Source organism: Homo sapiens, chromosome 2 (genome assembly GCF_000001405.40).
Source record: "Homo sapiens chromosome 2, GRCh38.p14 Primary Assembly".
NCBI lineage: Eukaryota > Metazoa > Chordata > Mammalia > Primates > Hominidae > Homo > Homo sapiens.
Genome location: NC_000002.12, coordinates 46,740,683 through 46,763,375, shown reverse-complemented (window position 1 = coordinate 46,763,375; position 22,693 = coordinate 46,740,683). Strand labels below are relative to the sequence as shown.

Genomic DNA, 22,693 nt, shown 5'->3' with positions numbered 1-22,693 from the left:
AGCTTTCGATTTTGTCAAATGAAGCTTAAAATTCAAGTATCAGTTCTTACGGTTCTAGCCATTATAAATCTTACGTAAACATAAGAGCTAAAAACAGCCTGGTGTGTGGAGAATGATTATTTGGGCTCAAGTTTTGTCTAAGAAACATAAATTTAATTATAACTCTTAGTAACTATTTAATCCAAGCTGTTTTTCTTCAAATATTTTGTACTGTGTTTAGCCAGAAAACAAAATACAGATGAACTCTTTCTCTTTGTAAGGTGACTGTATTATAAACAAGGCTAAAGTAGCAAGGCTAAACTTTTAGTGCAGATAATAAAATTCGAATAGTACAAGAATACTCTTTAGGTAATATCTATAGAATAAGATCTCTAAATGTTTTTGTATCAGGTGGAAATGCCATCTAAAGTAATATTAACAACATAAATGTATATATGTGCATACATAAATATATAATACACACTTATATGTATGCGGAAGGGAGAGGTGTGTGTGTGTGTGTAAGGGAATGAAGAAAATGAATGAGAATGGGTACAAATCAAAGCAACCTTTTCTTGGGTTAATTATTTCAACTATAAAGATGTATCTCAACTTCTAAAGAAATTCCTGGTTTGTATTTAAATGCACTTTAAAAAGACCGTTAACACTCAAATTTAGTTGACAGGCTACAATGGGATTCAGAAAAGGACACAGTGAATATAGACTTAGGTGCAAGTTCATGCTGGTGATTTTTCTTTTTTAAAATGTAAGCCACTAATATTTTAAGACAAAAATTTAAACCAAAAATTGCATATTAATATTATACACAAACTGAAACATGTGACTTTTAGCACAGTGTATACATGCTTACATAAACTCAAACACATTTAAAACAATTTCCATTTAACATATGAAAGTTTTGAAATACATAAAAGCATTAATACTTTCTATAAAACTACAGTTAGAACATCAATTTGCTACAAGCATATAAAAACATCAAGTGCTTTCTTGGAGTTTCAAGTTTCCTCTCTAAAACACAATCTTGCTCACATATATAGTCCTTTTCCAATAATCAGTATGAACTTTTCTTTTTCTCAAGAGGTTTATTTTCCAGGTACATTATAAGCTCAAGAAAAAAGACCCAACAATTAGGCAATATAATTATGTCATAACAACTTAATTGCACATAATGCTTTAAAGTAGGTTTGGATGAAGTTCTCAAACACTTTGGTATATGATCTTCAGGGACTTTAATTAGAAACAACAGAAATTATAAGTCCCTTCAATCCCCATTTTGCTTTAAAAGGGACAAGTCTTTGGTTAAAGTTCTACATTTTGGGCATTTATTTTTAATTAAGATGGTCCCCAAACCAATAAATGGTACTGATCTATTACAAATTCACAAGACTTCATTTAACCTGCTTCTGATGCAGTGGGAGGTTACAGATACTCATTTACTATAATATGTCATTGGATAGTTTCAATCTTTCATTTATAAGCAGAGAAATCAATAGGTTTATTACTTCTCTGTCAGTTTTCTGTTATAACCTAAACTGTACAGTAATTTGCAGTAACTACAGATACTGTTCCACAGTATATATAATTATGACTGATAAGATGTAGAGCATTAAATTTAGAGTTAGCTTATTCTGATAAGTCAATATTAGACTGTTCATTAACTCTGCATTAACTATAGAAAGGTTGTTAGTTAATGCTTATTTAAAAACCCCAAACCATTCCATTTACAAGAGAAATTGTTGCAAATGTATAAAACAGCAGATATACAAGGAGAACACCAAACATACTTTATTAGCACAAAAAAAGCAGCCATAACAAGGCACAGCAAGCAGAAACATACATTAGCAGTCAAAAGGTTAGTGTTGCATACAAATATAGCTTTCCTTTTTTGTAGCCTTGGCAATAGCCATAGGGATGTAAAATAACATTCTGTAGCAGCAGGTAAGGAAACTATGGAGCACTCACCAGTGGTACAGAGCACATTAACGAAAAGACATGAGAGTGGATTCGGCTACTTTAGTGCAAAATGTCTAGGACAGAACTGTAAATTCAGTTCAGTTACTAAGAAGCAAACACTAGAACTTGATATAACTTCCAAAAGCGCTCACTCAAGTAGTAGTACATATTATTCTAAGTGACAAAAAGGTGCTAAGTTATTTACAGATATAATGGTTGTACAGTACCTTTTAAATCTGCAATTTAGGTTTCAGATTTTCCATTAAGAATGAACTGCACTGAAATTCTATAAATTATACTTAAGCAATTCAGTTATGAGAGTTTACAAAAAAGAGATAAATTCTGCCATCCAAATTATTAATTATAGTTCAACAATAATCTCAACATCAGCAACCATTGTAGTTACTATTATCTGACTTGTTTGGGCGTCTTCTAGTCTCACGTACTTCACGGTTCACAAAATCATCCTGGGCATAGGAACAGATCCAACTTTTATGAAACAACAATTAGACTGCACATCAACTTAAAAAAAAATCACACACAAGACTACATTGCAGCAGCTATTCCAAACGCCTGTTTTAAGTTAAAGCACTCATTTAAAAAATTAATACCTAGGCCTTTCAATAAAATTCTACTACTAGCTTTGTAAGTCTGAAATTTTAAGAATGCCTATTTAGAAAATCTGGTTTACTTAACAGTACCTTTTGCAGAAGAGAAAAGGCGTCTGATTATAAACTACATCAACACGTAAGTGAACTGCACTATGCCCTTGTGGCCAGAAAATTGCATTTTTTTCTAAAAGGAAGGCAGTCTTTTATTCTTTTTGGACTTCCAAAGCTTGATTTATAGTAACTACAAACATCACGACTTTTGGAAGGTTATAGAAAAACTCTTAGAAAAAATAATTTCAAACATTAGTCACACTGTTGAAATACTCATCCAATATTAATAATTTGTTCTTCAGTAAGAAATAGAATTCTTCATAACAAATGCCCCAGAGTTGCCTCACTCAAATACCACAGCCATTAAAAACCAAACTGTTAGCGAAATAGGCAAAATGTTTTTGTAGTCTTACTGAACACCTGTAGCTCTATCCGCTATTGTTCCAATAGGCACCATGTTTATCTGAATAAGTAACAGCAGGTAGCATCTGACAGATACTAACACTAAGCTTACATACTGTATGAAAAAGCCTAACACTGCTACGTGTGCTTGCTATAGGTGTACTGTCTGATGCACATGAAAGCGGACCTAGTTAACAACCTTTGGGGACCGGAGAGTTTACTTTGCCTTGACTGGTTCTCGTTCCAACCAGCGAACTCTAACTTTTTGTTTATAATGATACTCTTTTAAAAAATCCTGTAACATTGAGGGTAGAGGGAGCCCATCAATTCCATCATACGTAGTGCACCTGCAGATTACCGCGCGACAGATATACTGCAGGCTAAAAGGGAAAGTCCTATTTAGTGATATAGTAAGCAATGGTTCAAAAAACATGCACGAACTGGGATCTTTATAATGTTCTAAAAGTCCCGTTACAGTGGAGGAGTGAAATACACACGGGTCATGGGCGTCGAAACTAAAGTTGTGATTCCACTGCTCAATTCGGGCATGCAGGGATCTGTTGTAGCGGCGGAAGCTCACAGAGAAGAGGTAGTCCTCTTGCGCAGAGTCCCTGAGCAAAAACGTGCCTTCAGGTTTCCCTTCGAGAAGGGCTTCTGCTTCATAACGGTCCATCACTCCCCAGTAACAGGGATTCCCTGTAATTTGAAGCAAATCAGGCACGAGGCAGTGTATGTAATCAATCTGTGTGTGGACTTTCCAAGCTCCCTGTCTGCTAACATGGGTATGGCTGTCTCCAGATATCTGACGCTGCTTCTGCCTCCGTGACTGCAAACACAGGGTGGTTGTATCCTCTTCCGAGTCACAATTAGCTTGTGGAATTGCAGAACTGTCCCCACTTATTTCAGTCATTCCAGGAGCTAATTTTGGTCCCAGTTTATATAATGGATTAACCTGTGCAGTAGCTTCAAATGTATGTATTTGTGCATTGGGAGGGGGATCAACCCCTTCTTCAATACTAAGCCGCCTTCTCTCTCTAAGCCTATCTTCTTCATCTTCTGTAGAAACCAAAGATGGATCAAATGTATCAAAAAATGTTGAATGTGGGCTCACAGGAGCTGTATGCTGTTTAATCAAATGCCATTTTTGGGCTAAATCTGAGCCAGCAGGAAAAGGGCATTTCTCAAGCATTAATTCAGAGAGATGGATTTTTCTTTTATTGGAAAAGAGAGGCTTTGACTGCTTGCTGTAAGTTCTCATGGGAAAACACAAGCCCACAGTATCCTGCAACCTCTGTCTTAGAGAGCGACTTCCTACAGTTCTGCTGGAAACACTGTCCATGTCGTGTACAGAACTTACGCCGTAGCGCCTCTCTCTCCTTTGAAGTCCACTTCGAGTTCTACCAAACTTTTTATCAGCATCCAATGAACTCTGGGTCTTTGTAGAACAGGAATGTTTTTTCTTCCCACCCCATGGAGCATGTCGAGAGTAGGAATCTCTTCGTGCAAGTCTTGTTCCTGGGGTAACACAAGAATCATTATCCTTTTCGATGCTTATTTCAACAATTTGAGGGATTTCTGTGGCACAATTTTGATTTCTCCTTGAAGAATTCTTCGAAGGGCTTAATCCCAGTTGTAAGGCAATATTTTCTCTTAAGGGACTGCTTTGTTGCTGAGGAGTTGAGTCTCCTATGCTGATGTTTTTCTCTTTGACAGACAAACATCTGTTGGAGTTCATGTCCACATTTTCACTACGGCTTCCTCCCTCATGACCGAAGAGATTCTGACACCTGTATTTGAAGTTATTCCACATTTTTCCCACTTTATCCATTGATTATAAAATCTAAAGACAAAACAGCAAAAAGAGAAAAATAAATTAATCAAAGTAGCATGTGAAGGTAGCTAAGGCAGTGCCCACACCCCTTCCCGTCCAGAATTTCAGTGATACTGGCCAAGCGTTCACCTACGCTGCCCTGCTGAAGTGATGAGGCCGTGTGTTCTGTTGGGCAGCAGGAAGGCCACCGGGCCTTTTAGGCACTGACCTTGTTCAAGCCAGTCATTACTTCCCAAGTCCTTTCAGGCAGAATATTCTGAACTCAGGTGAAAGAAAATAAACGCTCTTAAACTCTGGTTTCTTTTTCCCGTGCTTCAACCTGTTTCCTTAATTTGAATATTACAAAGGCAAAATATGTTCCATATTGTTGAAACACATTTGTATTCAACTTTTCAAAAGTTGTAACTAGAACATTTGTGTAACACATTAAAATTAGTTCAAAAACCTTTCATTAGTAGCAATCTTCCCAATTTTACTTAACTGGTTCCTTGCAATTCTAAGGTTTACAGTGTGTTCATCACTTATAAAAAACCCATATCTTCCCTCCCACCCTATAATGTATCAAATTTATCCATGATTTTGAAGAAGCAGTTTGAGTAGAAAAGAAAGAAAAAGAATGTAATATTTAGGAAAGGTGTCTTTTTTCCTTTTTCTTTTTTTTTGAGACGGAGTCTCGCTCTGTTGTTCATGCTGGAGTGCAATGGTGAGATCTTGGCTCACTGCAACCTCCACATCCCAGGTTCAAATGATCCTCCTGCCTCAGCCTCTGAGTAGCTGGGATTACAGGCGTGTACCACCACGCCCGGCTAATTTTTGTATTTTTAGTAGAGACGGGGTTTCACCATGTTGGTCAGGTTGGTTTCAAACTCCTGACCTCAGGTGATCCACTGGCCTCGGCCTCCCAAAGTGCTGGGATTACAGGTGTGAGCCACCATGCCCGGCCAGGAAAGGTGTCTTTAAACTTCCCAATTCTTTAATCCTGGAAGAGTTGGGAAACTGTAATAAAGTAATAGAGAAAGGCTATGATACTGTAGTACTCGCAAAAACAAAAACCAAAAACATACAATTTGGCATCTTTATTCTTGTTCCTTAAAAAAAAATCTAAAGCAGTGTATGATACTTTACAAATAAATTCTTTTAAGACTACAGTATCAACAGGCACACTGTCTAGTTCAGTAGCTAAAAGTCAACATTAGAAGAAATGGAAAAACCTAAACTTAAAATTCAATTGGTTTTGTCACATTATGATAGCAGAAAACTTTAGCTGATCTTGCCATAACTTCAACTAATTATTTTTGTCATAAACGCTTATATTTTCAAGAAGTTAACTAGGAATAAGAGAATAACAGAGAATAAACTTTCTTAGAATGAATTATAGGTCTTCCCATTAGTTTCTCACAGAAAAGGCTCTTGGACTAATGGAAACACAACACAGAAAATTAATGTCCATGATATTATAAAATGTACTTTCAGATGATTTAATTCTTTATTAAAAGCACACTGTCAGGCACATAGGAAGTTTGTACAGTAGTTGGTATATATTAGAATAAAATGTATTAGACAGAACTGTTAAATCTCAGTAAAGTCTATTTTAGAACACGGCCTCCTCTGTCTTGCAAAAATCTCTCTCGTAAGCATTTTTTATGAGGTTTACGCCATTTGAACTTCACGTGCCTTGTTATCATTTATTCTTCTTCTTAAATTAAGATTTCCGTTCCTTGCCCATAGTCCTGTTAATACAGTCGAATTCCTGCCGTATTCTTGGTGACTCCATTATCTTTGTAGATGTTCTCTTCCAATATCCTAGCCCCTTTCTAGCCTAGTTTCTTCTCATTTATTTTAAAATTAGTTTTTATTTTTACCTAATTCATATATTTGTAGTTTCAAGGTCAAATGTCACTACAAGACTCTTAACAAAAAACAGCACCACCCACCATGTGGCTACTAGAAAATTTAAAAGTAACATATGTGATTCAGGTTATATTTGTATTGAACATTACTGATGTAGAGCAAGGGCCAGCAAACCAAAGCCTGAAGGCCAAATCTGGCCTGTGGCCTGTTTTTTGAAGGGATCCCAGCTCAGAAAAATTTTTACATTTAAACATACACACACGAAGAACATCTGACAGAGACCACATGTAGTCTGCAAAGCCTAAAATATTTTCTATCTAGCCCCTTTCAGAAAAAGTTTACTGACCCTAATCCACCTATTTAAGATAAACCACATCACTCTAGACACTAGAAGAGCCATATTCAAGAAGTCCAAGAATTTAACTCTCTTCTCCGTGTTTATAAATTTTGTAGCTATCTAAAGATACTTCTCTGACATGCAAATTATACCCAAAAAATAACTTTTAAAAAGTGACCTAACCTAAAACCACTCATCTCCTTATATAGTTCTTTATAAGTTGTATGAATTAGTGTGATATGCAGAAAACATTTGTACTTGCCAGGGCACAAAATGCAGTTTCTAACACTGAACCCCCTGGTTCAGTTTCACAGAGCATGAAATTTAGTTATTTCTCTATTCTTATTCTGGAGCATGTTATCAGACTGCATCTTACTCCATGGAGAAAGATAGTTGATTTTTCTTGACATGTGAAATGTGATGTGGGCAGCTTTAATATTAGGAAGGAAAAAATACGGACAGTAATTCACAGACTAGTCGACATAACAATCAGGAAGGCATTTCAACTATCTTGGTATTAACAATGTCAGATTCGAAGTTCTTTTGTTTGTTTTGTTAAATTTTTAGAAATGTTTTTAAGATAGAGCTGAAACCCTTTGAGATCTAAATTACAACTCTACTACTTTATGGTTTTATATGAAATTATACAGGGCTAAAAAAAGCGTTAAATTTCAATTGCATTGATTCTAGAATAAAAGTTTATCATCCATTACAATCTCTTACATTTCTACACATGCTTAGCTGTTCTTAAAACTATCCAAAGCAAATTTCTAAAAAGTTATTCTTTCCTCGAAGGAATAATAATTTAAAACTGATTTTATAATGCTTTTGGAAGTTAAATAGCTTTTGTTGAAAAATTATATTTAACTGGATAAGCTACAAATTAGAATTATGGAAAATTAGGTCAAATTCTATCACTACATAAGTTTACATATATAAAAATGAAATAGTACAGTCAATGGTCCTTCTTAATGCCAACTAGTATCTATTACAAAATTTACACAAAACAAAATAATTGAAATAATTCCCAGGAGTTTATTTCAATGGGACTTAACCCATGCTTTATGAGAAATAAATTAAGTTTAACATGTTTTAAGAATACATTGAGAGAGAACTATTATACTTACCTAATTATGTTATATTGTTAAAATATACAGTTATAACATAACAGTTATATTCTTAATGCTGAATGCCATAAAGACGAAGAATGTGACAACTCAAATCCTTCCTCTTCTTCAGTCTATCTAGACTTCTCAGCTGTAACACCTTTCCAATAGAAAGTCCTTCAGTTACAGTAACAAAAATTGGGACAGGTAGACTGATTAAAAGTATTTCTGTATCAAATTCAGGCACAAGAGGCAGTTTAGGAGACAAGTTTTGATTGATATTTTGGTGGCATTTCAATAATTTTTAGAAAAAGATAATACGTTTGACAGTAAAACTGACCCAGAATTTCAGGAATGTGTGGCTGTCATAACTACAGCTTCTTAAAATAATCTAAGAATCCTCTGGCCTTTTAAAAATGATTTATTTTTAATTGTTATTTACACGTCATATTGTGACAGGATCTATTATTATCTAATTGGATGGCCATTTATCCTTTATACTGTTATTTAATATTAGGTTGAACCATATAAAATTGCTATTTTGTGGGTAAAAAATAAACATATAATTCAACCTTAGAGTTACACTATTACAGTGTACATGATATATTAATACAGTAGACCATGTACACTCAAAAAGAGGTGCAGTCCTCTAATCTAGTATACCCAGACACTTCCAGTTCCCAGCAGTGAGTTACACTTTTAGTTATGTTAGGTTCCAAACCTGTTCATGCCATTTATATTAGTGTAACTATGTGATTTAATTAAATGTCAACTAACCTAATGAAGTATGGAAGAGTGGGGAGTTTTATAAAGTTGAATGACTCTGAAATACTCAATAAAAGTGAAATACTTCTGCTGCTGAATTAGGTAGAGGCCAAGAAAATAGTTCAAAGAAATGGAAAAAATATTGTAAAGATCTATAAGGATTTTAAGCTAAGAATTCATCTGAAGAGCCTAAATTCTTGTTCTACTTAAAAAACCCAAACTGGAATCTTACATGATACATTATGGGCATGGCTTCCCCAATACAGACAATATGGATCTATAACTAGTAGACCTACTCTGAAAGAAAAGGCCTTGGCTCTTTCAGAGGTGTTTGAACCAGAGCAACCCCATCTTGAATAGGGGCTGGGAAAAATAAGGCTGAGACCTACTGGGCTGCATTCCTAGGGGGTTAGGCATTCTAAGTCACAGGATGAGACAGGAGGTTGGCACAAGATACAGGTCACAAAGACCCTTGATAAAACACAGATTGTGTTAAAGAAGCCAGTTAAAACCCACCAAAACCAGATGACAACCGAAGTGACCTCTGGTCGTCCTCACTGCTCATTATACATTAATTATAATGCATTAGGATGTTAAAAGACACTCCCACCAGCACCATGACAGCTTATAAATGCCACAGCAATGTCAGGAAGTTACCTTACATGGTCTGAAAAGGGGAGGAACCTTCAGTTCCAGGAATTGCCCACCCCTTTCCCGGAAAACTCATGAATAACCCACCCCTTGTTTAGCATATAATCAAGAAATACCATAAGTATACTCAGTCAAGCAGTCCATGCTGCTGCTCTGCCTATGGAGTAACCATTATTTTATTCCTGTGCTTTCTTAATAAACTTGCTTTCTCTTTTCTGTATTGACTCACCCTGAATTCTTTGTTGCGCAAGGTCCAAGAACCCTCTCTTGGGGTCTGGATCGAACCCCTTTCTGATAACAGCTTCTTAATCAAAAGACTGGCAAATGAACATAGTTATATTCTTAAAATTAGAATAAACTACTTAAGGTATGTATCCCTTCTATGATGTATTGCTTTATTAGACTTTACAGACAACTGGTTCTGACTGAATCAGATAAGCCTTCCTTAACAATCATAATTAAAATTTGTAGTAGTACCAGGATTGAGTAGCAAGTAACAAAGTCCTAAAGATAACAGGGAAACGTGACCTAGTTTCGGGGTTGGGGAGCAAGGAAGACTTTTCTGAGGAGGTGATGTTTCAAAATTTTATCCTGAAGGATAAGAAGAAATGAATCAGGACAATGTACTATAGGCAGAGGGAACAGCATTTGCAAAAGTCCTGAAGCAGAAATGAGCATGACATGAACAATGGCTGAAGTTAACACAACCCAGTGAGTGAAGGGAAGTGTGTCAAGATGAAGTTGGAGAGGTAAGCCTCATAATCCATGATAAGAGAGCAAGGGTGGATGCTGATATGGCACTGAAGACTACTGCAGGAGTCCAAGCAAGCACCTGACTAGGATGGTGATAGGAGAGATGGCTATGAGATGTTCAGATGTCAAATCTATAGGATTGAAGATCAATTGAAAATGGGAAATGAGGAGAGAGTGGTATTGAAAATGACACTAGGAGTCTTGCTTAGGCAAATGCATGAATAGAGATGCTGTTTCAGAGAGAAAACACGAAATAAAACAGTTTTGTCAGGTAGGGGTTTGAAGACAGTCAACAAATTGAATTTTTAAAATGTTGCTGTTGTGGCTGTCATGGAGATATGTAAGTAAATGATAATTAGTCCATTAGTATACATTCATACAGTGGAGCACTATATAGCAGAAATGATCAACTATAGCTACTTGTATCAATATAAAATGTAACACTCAAAACATAATGCTTAGAGAAAGAAATTATAAGAGATGAATATATCCATTATGAAACAATTTACCTTTTAAACAAGCAAACCCCCAAATATATTGTTTAGGTATACATACATATATAATAAAGATACAAAAGCAAGGGGATGTCAGCAAAGTTAGGATAATGGTTGCCTATTATGGGGAAGGGTAGAGAATTAGAAGAGGCACTCAGAGACTTCTAAAACAGCAGTCCCCAACCTTTTTGGCACCAGGGACTGGTTTCATGGAAGGTTTTAGGATGAAACTGTTCCACCTTATATCATCAGGCATTAGTTAAGAGTCTCATAAGGAACACGCAACCTAGATCCCCTGTGCGCAGTTCACAACAGGGCTGAATCCTATGAGCATCTAATGCTGCCGCTGACTAGACAGGAGGTAGAGCTCAGGTGGTAATACTCGCCGAAAAAAAAAAAAAAGAACAAAACACTGAACTAAATAGGTTTCTCTAATGTGGTACAGGGTTCAGCAAACATTTTCTCCAAAAGGCCAGGCAGTAAATGTTTTAGGTTTTGTGGGCCGTACAGTCTCTATGGCAACTACTGAACTCTGCCACTGTAGCCTGAATGCAGCCATAGGCAACATGCAAGTAAATAAGCATAGCTGCATGCCAATATAACCTTATTTATGGTCAGTGATACTTAAATTTCATATAATTTTCCCTTGTCACAAAATATTATTCTTCTGATTTTCATTAACCATTTAAAAACATAAAATCCATTCTTAGTTCATGGTGGGCTATACAACAACCAGTGGTGGGCCAGATTTTGCCCATACGCCATAGTTTGCCAACCCCTGATGTACTACATAAAACATTTAAGATTATGTTTACCAAATCTAACAGTCATTCTATGGAACAGTTTGAAGATCAATACTCTAAGATTATCATCTTAAGTGCATTAAGTAAATGGATGATCACTAGAGCATGAAGTTATAAAATAGAAAACTTTCTTAGAAAAATAATATACACACAGAATAATTAAAATACTCCAGAAATATTTTAAAAAATCTAACCCTCACTTGAAGTCCCACCACCTAGAGATAATCACTGTTAATATTCTGGTGAGTATCTTTCCACATGTTTTCTTTTATGCAAAACCTGTACATAATCTTCTCTTATAATAAAAAAAAACACTTGCATGTCTGTGTCTACATTCCTTTTTATTTCTTATAAAGTGTATTTTTTTTTAAGTAAACTATGTCAGAGATGGAATCAGACTAGCAAAAGAGAAAAACCTCTGGCAATTACATTTTTTAACAGTAAATCTAAGATTCTTTGAAGTGAGTAATCAAAGAAATAAAACTCTGGAAAAAAGCTGAATCTTGAAAAAAGAGTAATAATCTTGACAGTAATGGCTGTGATGACAATTTACATTATTGGGGGCTAACAATGTACCAGGCTCTGACATAAGCATTTTACTTCTCCCAACAACCCTACGAGTAATAATTATCTTAATTTTATAGATGTAGAAACCGATATATCTGAGAGATTAATAACAACTTGGACTTCAATTTCTTCTATTATTATTTGGTCTATTCAGCTTCTCTACCTCTTTTTGAGTCAATTTTAGAACAGTATATTAATTATTCTAAGTCCAAGTACAATAGTGTCATTAAGTTCTTTAAAACTTCAGAGGATACATCATATCCATATTTTGAATTATTGGAGAACATAAAAAGATGGAATATATCTCAAATTATTATACAAACTCAGCATCACTCCAACATGAAAAGTTGACAGAGGTAGCACATGCATACTCAAAAGAAAATTTCTAGCCTATTCTATTTTAATTGTAATGAAACAATACTCTGACCAAAAGAATCTCAAGTATATTCATGGGCCTACCAACAATGTTTCGGTATCTGTACTTTAAATGCCTATCAACTATTAAACCCATGACCCTTGTGTAGGCCTGTATACCGCTCAGAAATGTTCTGGTATTATTGTAACAAATGGTTCTATATTAGTAAGTTCTACTGCTTCTCTGAATACTACTTTTAATTATATGGTCAGTTAAGAATGTATTTTGTAATCAGATGCCTAATTTCAAGGGATGGAGTTTAATAAGTTCTTGTATTTTTCTCTGTACATTAATATAGTGGTCCATTTTTAAAAAGAAGAAAAAAGAAGACACAGAACCAAATTAAGAGTCATGTGTGATACAGTCCCTGCAATCCTACTCTCCAAAAAAGACAATTTTAGGGCTATTTCTTTTTCTAATTAAAAAAAAAGTAAGTATTTAATTTTACATTTCCAGTTCCTAAGTTTTATCCACACAATTCTAACTTCTGGTATCACGTAGGAGGGCACGCCGAGCCTAGCAGAAATCTTATTCTTAAGCCCAAATCTCACGTACAGATACTGCCTATGCTTTGCTTAGGGCACCAGAATGAAAAGCGGATAGGCAATAAAACAATCAAACATTTGGGAGGCAGGAGCAGAAAGGATGAATTCCAGCATTACCATTTAAGAATCCTATAACCTTGAATGTCTTTCTTCATATTTCTGAACCTAAATTAGCCCCTTGGTACAATGACGATAATATCTACCTTATGGGTTGGATGTGATGATAGAAATAATATACATAAAATGGCTCATAGGAGATATTCAAAAGACAGAGAGGTTTTAAAAATGTTACCAGTATTATCTAGCATCTTTAGCTTTTCTCTCTTTTAAAAAATACTTCTTTCTTTCAGTTCTTCTGGGTCATGCCACAAATGTCACTTTCCTATGTACAGTATCTGCCAGAGTGAAAGTTCTATCCATGACTCCAACTTCCATATTATATCCTAAGAAACACTATGGACATTTCAATGTTCCTAAGCCATTGACTCTACAGCTCATCTACAAAAACTAAGGATAGCTAATCTGTACAGTACTGGGTAAGGTCCGGGAACACAGTCCTTATTCATTTGGAGGGGCTTCTGATTCTTTTTTAGTCTATAAAACACTACCACAATTTAAATTTTGCTCTATAGATACTGTACACTAGAGAAGCCTAAAATCCTAAGAGGTTATGCTTCATTTTCTTATGGGGAAAATATCTTATGTAATATACTAACAAATACACGATTCATCAAAATGTTTCTTATTTGGCCAGCATTATTGGCAGACTGTGGTATAACACAAACAACATAAGCCTTAGATTTAGCAGGACCTAAAATCAAATTCAAGCTCCCACTAGCTGTGTTAGAGACCTAAGTCTCGGCCTTTCCAGGATAACATGACATAAGGTAAAAACAACTAAGTATATAATAGGGCGACAAAAATCATAGCTTCTGATATACAACCAATCCAAAGCATGTTAGTTCATGTTAGTGACAGTAACAAAAAGTAAGGCTGTTTTATGACTAGGGAGAGATTATTGCTGAGTCAGTTCTGCATTGATATCCCATCTCCAGGGAGACTACTTCCGTTAGGCAAACCAACTTAGTAAAGTAAATAACATTTTACTCAGCATTATAACCACATGTGACTAGTACTGTCAGCACTGCCTCTACTGATCATGCTTACTAGAGCACAGGGCATCAATGCTTCCCACAAATCTCCCTTAATATAAAAGGTGGTTAAATATAAACAAAAATACCAACAAAGTAAAACAACTCTCAGTTGAGGAATTTAGCAGACAGCTTAATCCAGAAAAGAGTCTCTGATTAGGGGAACTACTTAACAGTGAGCTCATTATGATTCTGCTAATAATTTACAAATAATATTCAGTTACCAATGGTAAGTGAGCAAATGGAATCTGCACCATTTCCTTCTCTAGGGAGGATAACCACTTTATAACCCCAGCAGTTTAGATCAAGTATCACAAGAAATATGAAGACTCTAAGGACTAAAATAAATAAAATAATGTTTTGATAATAACAACTTTTTTACTTTTTATCTAAAACTGCTTAGAATACATTTACTAATCTTTAACAAACTTAAAAGATACTACTGTCTCCTATGCCAAATTTTAGCTCTAAAAAAAACTAATGGAAAATAATTTGACAACTTGTAATGAATCCAAGAAAGAAACAAAGAAAGAAACTGATCAGGACAATGCGTGCCCCTTTTTGGATCTACCCTCCCTGACACCATAAGAAAAAGGAAAATTTGTCCAGACACAGTGGCTCATGCTTATAATCCCAACACTTTTGGAGGCTGAGGCAGGAGGATCGCTTGAGCCCAGGAGTTTGAGACCAGCCTGAGCAACAGACAGACCCTGTCTCTACAATAAGATTTTCTAAAATTAGCCAGGCCAAGTGGCATGCATCTGTGGTCCCAGCGACTCATGAGGCTGAGGTGGGAGGATTGCTGGAACCTGGGAGGCTGAGGCTGCAGTGAGCCAAGTTCGTACCACTGCACTCCAGCCTGGGTGACAGAGTGAGACTGTGTCAAAAAAAAAAAAAAAAGAAAAAGAAAAGAGAAAAGACAATGGAAACATCTTAAAATTAGTCTTTAGCAGGATATTTGAGAAGGGTATCGGGAGAAGTAAAGGCAAATAAGGATAACTTTTAATCACGTAAGAAAACAAATGTAGAGAAGCATGTTGAACAAAATCATCAACTAGAAACTCCAAGTAATACAGCTTAGTTTTGGTTTTACCAATTAGCATGTAACATACAAATTTAGTTTTTAGAAATAGGACAATCAAGAAATCTTTAGTTTATTAACAACTAAAATTAAACCTAACCTATCAAAAGCTCAGAATCTGAAAAGATTTTTTAAATATTCATTTTAACATTTGCTGAGTACCACATGTGGACAATATGACGATAAAGTTCAAGCTCTCAGATGTAAATATTTAAAGCTCTTTCTCTATGCCTATTTACTCTAAATTGACCTTCAATTTAAGCAAACTTTATTTGCTAGACACCAAGGGCATAGCAGCTTAGAAACTGCAAATTAGAAGGGTTGGGGATGTGGTTATAGAGGAGTACTACGTGTAAGTACAATGACCACAGGAAGAGAAGAACAAAGAAACCTTAAAAAGTGTAACAGCCCAGGGCCACAGACTACATGGACACATTATGCAAGACATAAAAAAGGGAACACATGGAGATATAAAACAGATTTAAAAGAGACTAGCCGGGCATAGTGGCTCATGCCTGTAATCTCAGCACTTTGGGAGGCCAAGGCAGACAGACTGCTTGAGCCCAGGAGTTTGAGACCAGCCTGGGCAACAAGGCAAAACCCTGCCTCTATATACAAAAGTTAGCCAGGTATGGTGGTGTGCGCCTGTGGTTCCAGTTACTCTGGAGGCTGAGGTGGGAGGATCACTTGAGCCCAGGAGGTAAAGGCTGCAGTGAGCTGTGACTGCACTATCACACTCCAGCCTGACCAACAGAGCAAAATCCTGTCTCAAAAAAAAGTAAGAGACCACTATGAACAACTGTAAGCAAATAAATTTAAAAACTAAGAAGAAATGACTAGATTTTTAGAAAAACATAAATTACCAAAACTGACTCAAGAAGAAATTAAAAATCAGTAGCCGTTAAAGACTTTGAATCAGTAATTAAAATCTTTGCTCAAGGAAAACACCAGCCCATGCAAACTGTTCTAGGCAGAAGAAACAAATCTGTCTAGCAACCTTGATATGTAATCACTGATGGCCAGAACAAGAGATCAAAAGAGATGCAACAGCCAGCTCAATAAGGCAAAAAAAAAAAAAAAAAAAAAGAAATAAAGTCATGCAAATTGGAAAAGAGAAAATAAAACTCCATTTTCTGATGATGTGATTGTCTACATAGCAAACCCTAAGGAATCTTAAAAAAGAAAGAAAAGTAAACTAAGTGAGTTTAGCAGGGTCACAGGATACAAGATCAACACACAAAGATCAATTACATAACTATATACCGTACTAACAACAAACATGTAGAAACCAAAATTAAAAGAGATGTAACAAAAATATATAACCTTAAAGGAGACAGGCTGATGGGATCTTTTTTTTTTTTTGAGATGGAGTCTCTGTCGCCCAGGCTGGAGTGCAGTGGTGCAATCTCGGCTCACTGCAACCTCTACCTCTCAGGTTCACACCATTCTCCTGCCTCAGCCTCCCGAGTAGCTGGGACTACAGATGTCCGCCACCACGCCTGGCTAATTTTTTGTATTTTTACTAGAGACGGGTTTTCACCGTGTTAGCCAGGATGGTCTCAATCTCCTGACCTTGTAATCCACCCACCTCGGCCTCCCAAAGTGCTGGGATTACAGGCGTGAGCCACCCGGCCCTGATGGAATATTTCTATACTCCAAAGGAGAAGATTCAAATGGCAGGAGAGAAAACATGCTAGATATTCTAGAGTTACCACTGCCTTTGTACTTACTCTGGGGAGTGGTGAATAATAAGAATGTGAGTCTATAGCCTACTTCACAACCATATTGGGCCTATCCCTCTTCTCCATCTCCACTGCCCCCTAACAGGTTCAGTCTTCATCATTTGCATGGATGAATCAGATGCCTAAACAGTCTACCTTTCTCCACCCTCACTCCCTTCTGGAGCATCCTTCATAATATTGATCCCAGGATTTCAAGCATCAGAGAAAAAAAAAAAACTCAAAGGGCTCCGTGTCTGGCTACCTCCTCCACCCTTTAAAAACTGGGAAGAAAAAGTACAGCAAAACAACAGTTAACGGTATTATAATTTAGGAATATTGAGATAATATAGTTGGAATTATGCCATCTGGAGAATGAAGGTGATCAAATGTTTGTTTTTACATATACAGAGACCCTTTCTTTAAAAATGGGAATTCTGACTGGCCGCTCTTCAATCCTTCTAAAGACCAAGACAAAGAAACTCTCAGGAAAAAATTAAATTTCAAATGGTTAAAAAGGTAAATAAACAATCGAAAGAGATTTGTGCAGAGTCTTTCATGGGAAATGTTAAAGAGGATAAACAACCCTCTGTCTCTAGCCAGCCCAGGTAGTCCTTCCTCTACAAGCAACTCAATTAGCTAACCTCAAAGATCTGTGATTTTTCTTTTAATATTAGAATTTTTAAAATAAGCACAGCATTCCACAAATGGAATCCAGTTATTTAAGGTCTAACATAGCACAACAGTTACAACTAATTCTGATCATACTCCTCTCCAATTAAATAAAAGAAAAATCCTAATGTATAATACTGAGTTATTTAAATAGTCTCATACTCCATAGCTAGACATGTTTTTGATCAGGTACAATTTTATGTTCAATTTAAACAATGTAAATGTAGTGTCAGCTACAAAAATATGTAATCAAAGAAATGCTATTCTTCCAACACAAACTTTCCCTTTCCTGTCTCCCCCTAAAAGAACTTCTACACAGTTTAAGGTATAGTCATTTCCCATAAACATGGCTTAAAATTGAGACTTCTTTTGCAGATAAAGAAAAGCAGGTTTAAACAGTCTCAAAGATGAACTGGTAGTTTAAAGCAGAATTCTCAATATTCTTTGATAAGGATGTAGTGCTACATTAATATCCCCAAAATTCTTAAGACATTCTCTGAAATCTGAAATGAATTAAGACTTACTATTAAACAGTTTGCATCATAATTGTTTGAAGCATAGTGGGTAAAAATCCTTTGTTATTGCTTGCAGGTCAATCCTGGAAATCCACTTAAATGGGATAATTCTACATCTTGTTATACAGATTTTCTAATTTTCACAATAAAATATAAAACTTTCCAGGGGCAATACTTAGATCTAGTATGGATGAACCATTCCACAACTATTTCCCAAGCACTAAATAGAAACCACAAATAGACATAAAATAAAATTGGGTCAAAAATCTCGATTACAGCCGGGCGCGGTGGCTCACGCATGTGAGCCCTGCACTTTGGGAGGCTGAGGTGGGCGGATCACCGGAGGTCAGGAGTTTGAAACCAGCCTGGCTAACATGGTAAAACCCCGTTTCTACTAAAAATACAAAAAATTAGCGGGCATGGGGGCATGCGCCTGTAATCCCAGCTACTCAGGAGGCTGAGGCAGGAGAATCACTTGAACCTGGGAGGCAGAGGTTGCAGTGAGCCAAGATAGTGCCATTGCACTCCAGCTTGGGCAACAAGAGCAAAACTCCATCTCAAGAAAAAAAAAAAAAGTCTTTATTATTTTGAAAGAACTAGTTTGGAAATATCTCACCACCCACACTGATTTTCTATGTTCTAACTGTAATCAAATTACTTCACCACAAAGATATATATGTGGTTTGTATTATTTTGGCTCCCTACACAAATACTTTACCAGAATTACAACTTAATGTTATGCTCTCAACTTCTTAAGAGTTTATCAAATAAGTGGTCTTATATTATTCCACGTTCTATAAAAATGGTATCAAAGGGCTGGGTGTGGTGGCTCATGCCTGTAATCCCAGAACTTTGGGAGGCCGAGGCAGGCGGATCACTTGAGGTCAAGAGTTCACAATCTGCCTGACCAACACGGTGAAACCCCATCTCTACTGAAAATACAAAAATTAGCCAGGTGTGGTGGTACATGCCTGTAATCCCAGCTACTAGGGAGGCTGAGGGAGGAGAATCGCTTGAACCCAGGAGGGGGAGGTTGCAGTGAGCTGAGATTGCGCCACTGCACTCTAGCCTGGTGGACAGAGTGAGATGCCTTCTCAAAAAAAAAAAGAAAGAAAATAGTATAAAAGACATCATCCCTGATATAAAGACCCACACAAAAAAATTCTTCTTTGACTTTACTGCCAAGGTTTCTCTTTAAAAAACTGATATGCTTCCTTTATGTAGAAAATGAGAAAAATATAACTCATTGTGTGTCTCCTTTTTTCCTATTACCAACAGAAAATACAAATGGAAGGCCTTTGTTTAAATTTCAGACATATTTGGAGATGCCCCCCAGTCCCTTGTATGACGCTTAATCAATTATCATTATACTAAATGTTCAAGTATACATATGTTTGCCAGAGGCATGTGAACCATACTGAGTAGGGGTTGGGTAAAATGAGGCTGAGACCTACTGGGCTGTATTCCTAAATGGTTAAGGCATTCTAAGTCACAGGATGAGATAGGAGGTCAGCACAAAATACAGGTCATAATGACCTTGCTGAGAAAACAGGCTGCATGACAGAAGCCAACCAAAACCCACCAAAACCAAGAAGGCCACAAGAGTGATCTCTGGTCATCCTCACTGTTACACTCCCACCAGTGCCATGACAGGTTACAAATGCCATGGCAATGTCAGGAAGTTACCCCATATGGTCTAAAAAGGGAGGCATGAATAATCCACCCCTTGTTTAGCATATCATTAAGAAATAACCATAAAAATGGGCAACCAGCAGCCCACGGGGCCGCTCTATGGAAGAGCCATTCTTTTATTCCTTTAACTTATTAATAAACTTGCTTTCACTTTACTCTATGGACTCACCCTGAATTCTTTCTTGCGCAAGACTCAAGAACTTTCTCTTGGGGGTCTGGATCGGGACCCCTTTCCTGTAACATGTTGAATATAATACATATATGCAGTGGAAGGAGGGAGGAAGTAGATGAAAAACTCATAAAAAGTTAACAGTCAAGTTTTCTGAAACTAAAAAACTATACTTTGGGGCCTAAAATTGAGTAATCTCAAATGTTCCCATAAGATGAATGGGTAAGAATTTCATCGGATTGTAAAAACATAAACCTTCCATTAAAAAAGTAGTAAACAGGCCAGGCGTGGAACCTCATGCCTGTAATCCCAGCACTTTGGGAGGCCAAGGTGGGCAGGTCACAAGGTCAGGAGTTCTAGACTAGCCTGGCCATCATGGTGAAACCCCGTCTCTACTAAAAATACAAAAATTAGCCAGGTATAGTGGTATGTGCCTGTAATGTGAGCTACTCGGGAGGCTGAGGCAGAAGGATCGCTTAAACCTGGGAGGCAGAGGATGCAGTGAGCCGAGATCGCGCCATTGCACTCCAGCCTGGGTGACAGAGCGAGACTCTGTCTCAAAAAAAAAGAAGTAGTAAACATAAAAAAACTTATGACTTCTCAAATAAAAGATGGGAAGGTGTACTTAAGCAAAATGCTGAAGCAATAAACCAAAAGGCAATGATCAAAAGACTAAATGACATAAAATTTAAGATTTCTGTATATCAAAAAATGTCATAAACAAAGGTAAATGATAAGCTGAATAAAACATTTTCAACATATGACATATGGAAACGACATGATACATGACAATGTTGTCATATGTTGAAAATTAATATATATATTTTATAAGAAAAAGATATGCCAGACACAGTGGTGTGCGTCTACAGACCAGCTACTAAGAAGGTGGGGGTGGGGGTGGGGGTATGGAGAGGATGCTTGCTTGAGCCCAGGACCTCAAAGTCCAGCCTAGGCAACAAAGCAAGACCTGTCTCTATTTAAAAAAGAAAAGAAGACAAAGAAAATGGTAAAACACAACAACTCAATTAAAAAACAGCAAAGGATATCTCTAGAATAATCACAAATCAGATGTATACTTGGCCAATAAAGGTCATTCTTGGAATTTGTCAAAGACATCCAAATTAAAATGTGATACAAATTTATCACTTATCAACCTGTCAAAGTTTGTTTTTATTTCTTTTACATTTTAATGGTACTATCTAGCATGGGTATTGAGAAAGTAGCATTGTCACACACTAATGTGAGAACATAGATCCACATGACGTTTCAGAAAGGAAATTGTATATTATGTACTAAAGCTTGAAAACTATGCACATCTTTCTATCTAAGGCTTCCCAATTAGAAATTTATTCCAAGAACATAATCAGATAAGGATGGAGATTTATATGCAGGAAATATTCATCATAGCATTAGTTATATTAGGAAAAAATTGGCAATAATCATATTGCTCAGTGAATAGAAGAATGGTTAAATAAATTCTGGTGCCTTTACATGCTGAAATAATAGACATAAAAAACCATGTTTCTGGGGCATTTAATATTCTGGTAATGTTCATGATATTAAATAAAAATGGTTATAAAATAGTACAACTAAACAGACCTCAACACACATCTATATCACAAACATTTTTTAAAAAATATAGTTAGGAAATATCACTGTGGTTATTTCTGGATAGTTTCTATTTATTGTAATTTCATTTTTTTTCTTTGTTGTACTTTCCAAAATATTAGATTCAATATTTTTAAAATGTTATTTAAAAAGGAAGTAGATCTTGGGGCCAGGTGCAGTGGCTCACGCCTGTAATCCCAACACTTTGGGATTTGTAAAAATACAAAAATTAGCCCGGCATGGTGGCGCACGCTTGTAATCCCAGCTACTTGGACATTGAGGTAAAAGAATCACTTGAACCTGGGAGGTGGAGGTTGCAGCGAGCTGAGATCGCACCACTGCACTCCAGCCTGAGTGGTAGAGCGAGACTCCGTTTCAAATAAATAAAAGAAAAAGGAAGTCGATCTTGAAAAAGATCAATCTAATTTCATATTATAAACTCAAAGATATATGCAAAATGCAGAAGAAATGAATAATGAAATATTTTAAAAACTTTTTAAAGATGAAGCAACGGTGAGGAAGGGAAGAGACACAAATAAATGGTGGGTTACAGGGGCAGAGAACACAATCAATGGAGAAAGGAATCGCAAATACAGGTCTCCACTCAAGCCAGCGTGACTTTCTCAAACAGTATTAGGAATTAGTGGTAAGTAATATCACTAATGAATTTCAACTCATTTATGAGTCTCTTCTGGTTGCAAGGTTCTGACATACTCAAATGTGGGTGTGTATGGCTGAGGAAGGATCCTGATTAATAAGCACGGATTTGATAAGGAAAACAGGTCAGAAGTCCAAGAACAAAATCAGTGACACAAGTGGGTCTGGGCCTCAAGGATACTGGGACTGAGAAGGGTCTGGTTCCAGAGCTTCCCTAGGAAGCAGCAAGAGGAGCAGTAGGCAGTGGCAGATCCTCATTCTAGAACTCTGGTTCTTACTGGGACCCAGCAACTCC

General features: G+C 36.5%; 1 protein-coding gene across 2 annotated transcripts in view, besides 1 other annotated feature; it reads right to left on the bottom strand.

Moving 5' to 3' along the window:
• Positions 1-246: 246 nt before the first annotated feature.
• Positions 247-22,693, bottom strand: part of SOCS5 (suppressor of cytokine signaling 5) — a 64,193-nt gene continuing 41,746 nt past the window's right edge. For both annotated transcript variants that reach the window (NM_014011.5, NM_144949.3), the window contains exon 2: positions 247-4,857. In NM_014011.5, the coding sequence (NP_054730.1) occupies positions 3,235-4,845 (1,611 nt within the window). In that variant the 5' untranslated portion in view covers positions 4,846-4,857 and the 3' untranslated portion in view covers positions 247-3,234. The remainder of the gene's footprint in view (positions 4,858-22,693) is intronic.
• Positions 14,032-14,326: an enhancer, noted in NCBI's record as "tiled region #6790; K562 Activating DNase unmatched - State 5:Enh". NCBI's record gives its function as "activates a minimal TATA promoter and a strong SV40 promoter by Sharpr-MPRA in K562 cells {active_cell/tissue: K562}" and the evidence as "EXISTENCE:reporter gene assay evidence [ECO:0000049][PMID:27701403]".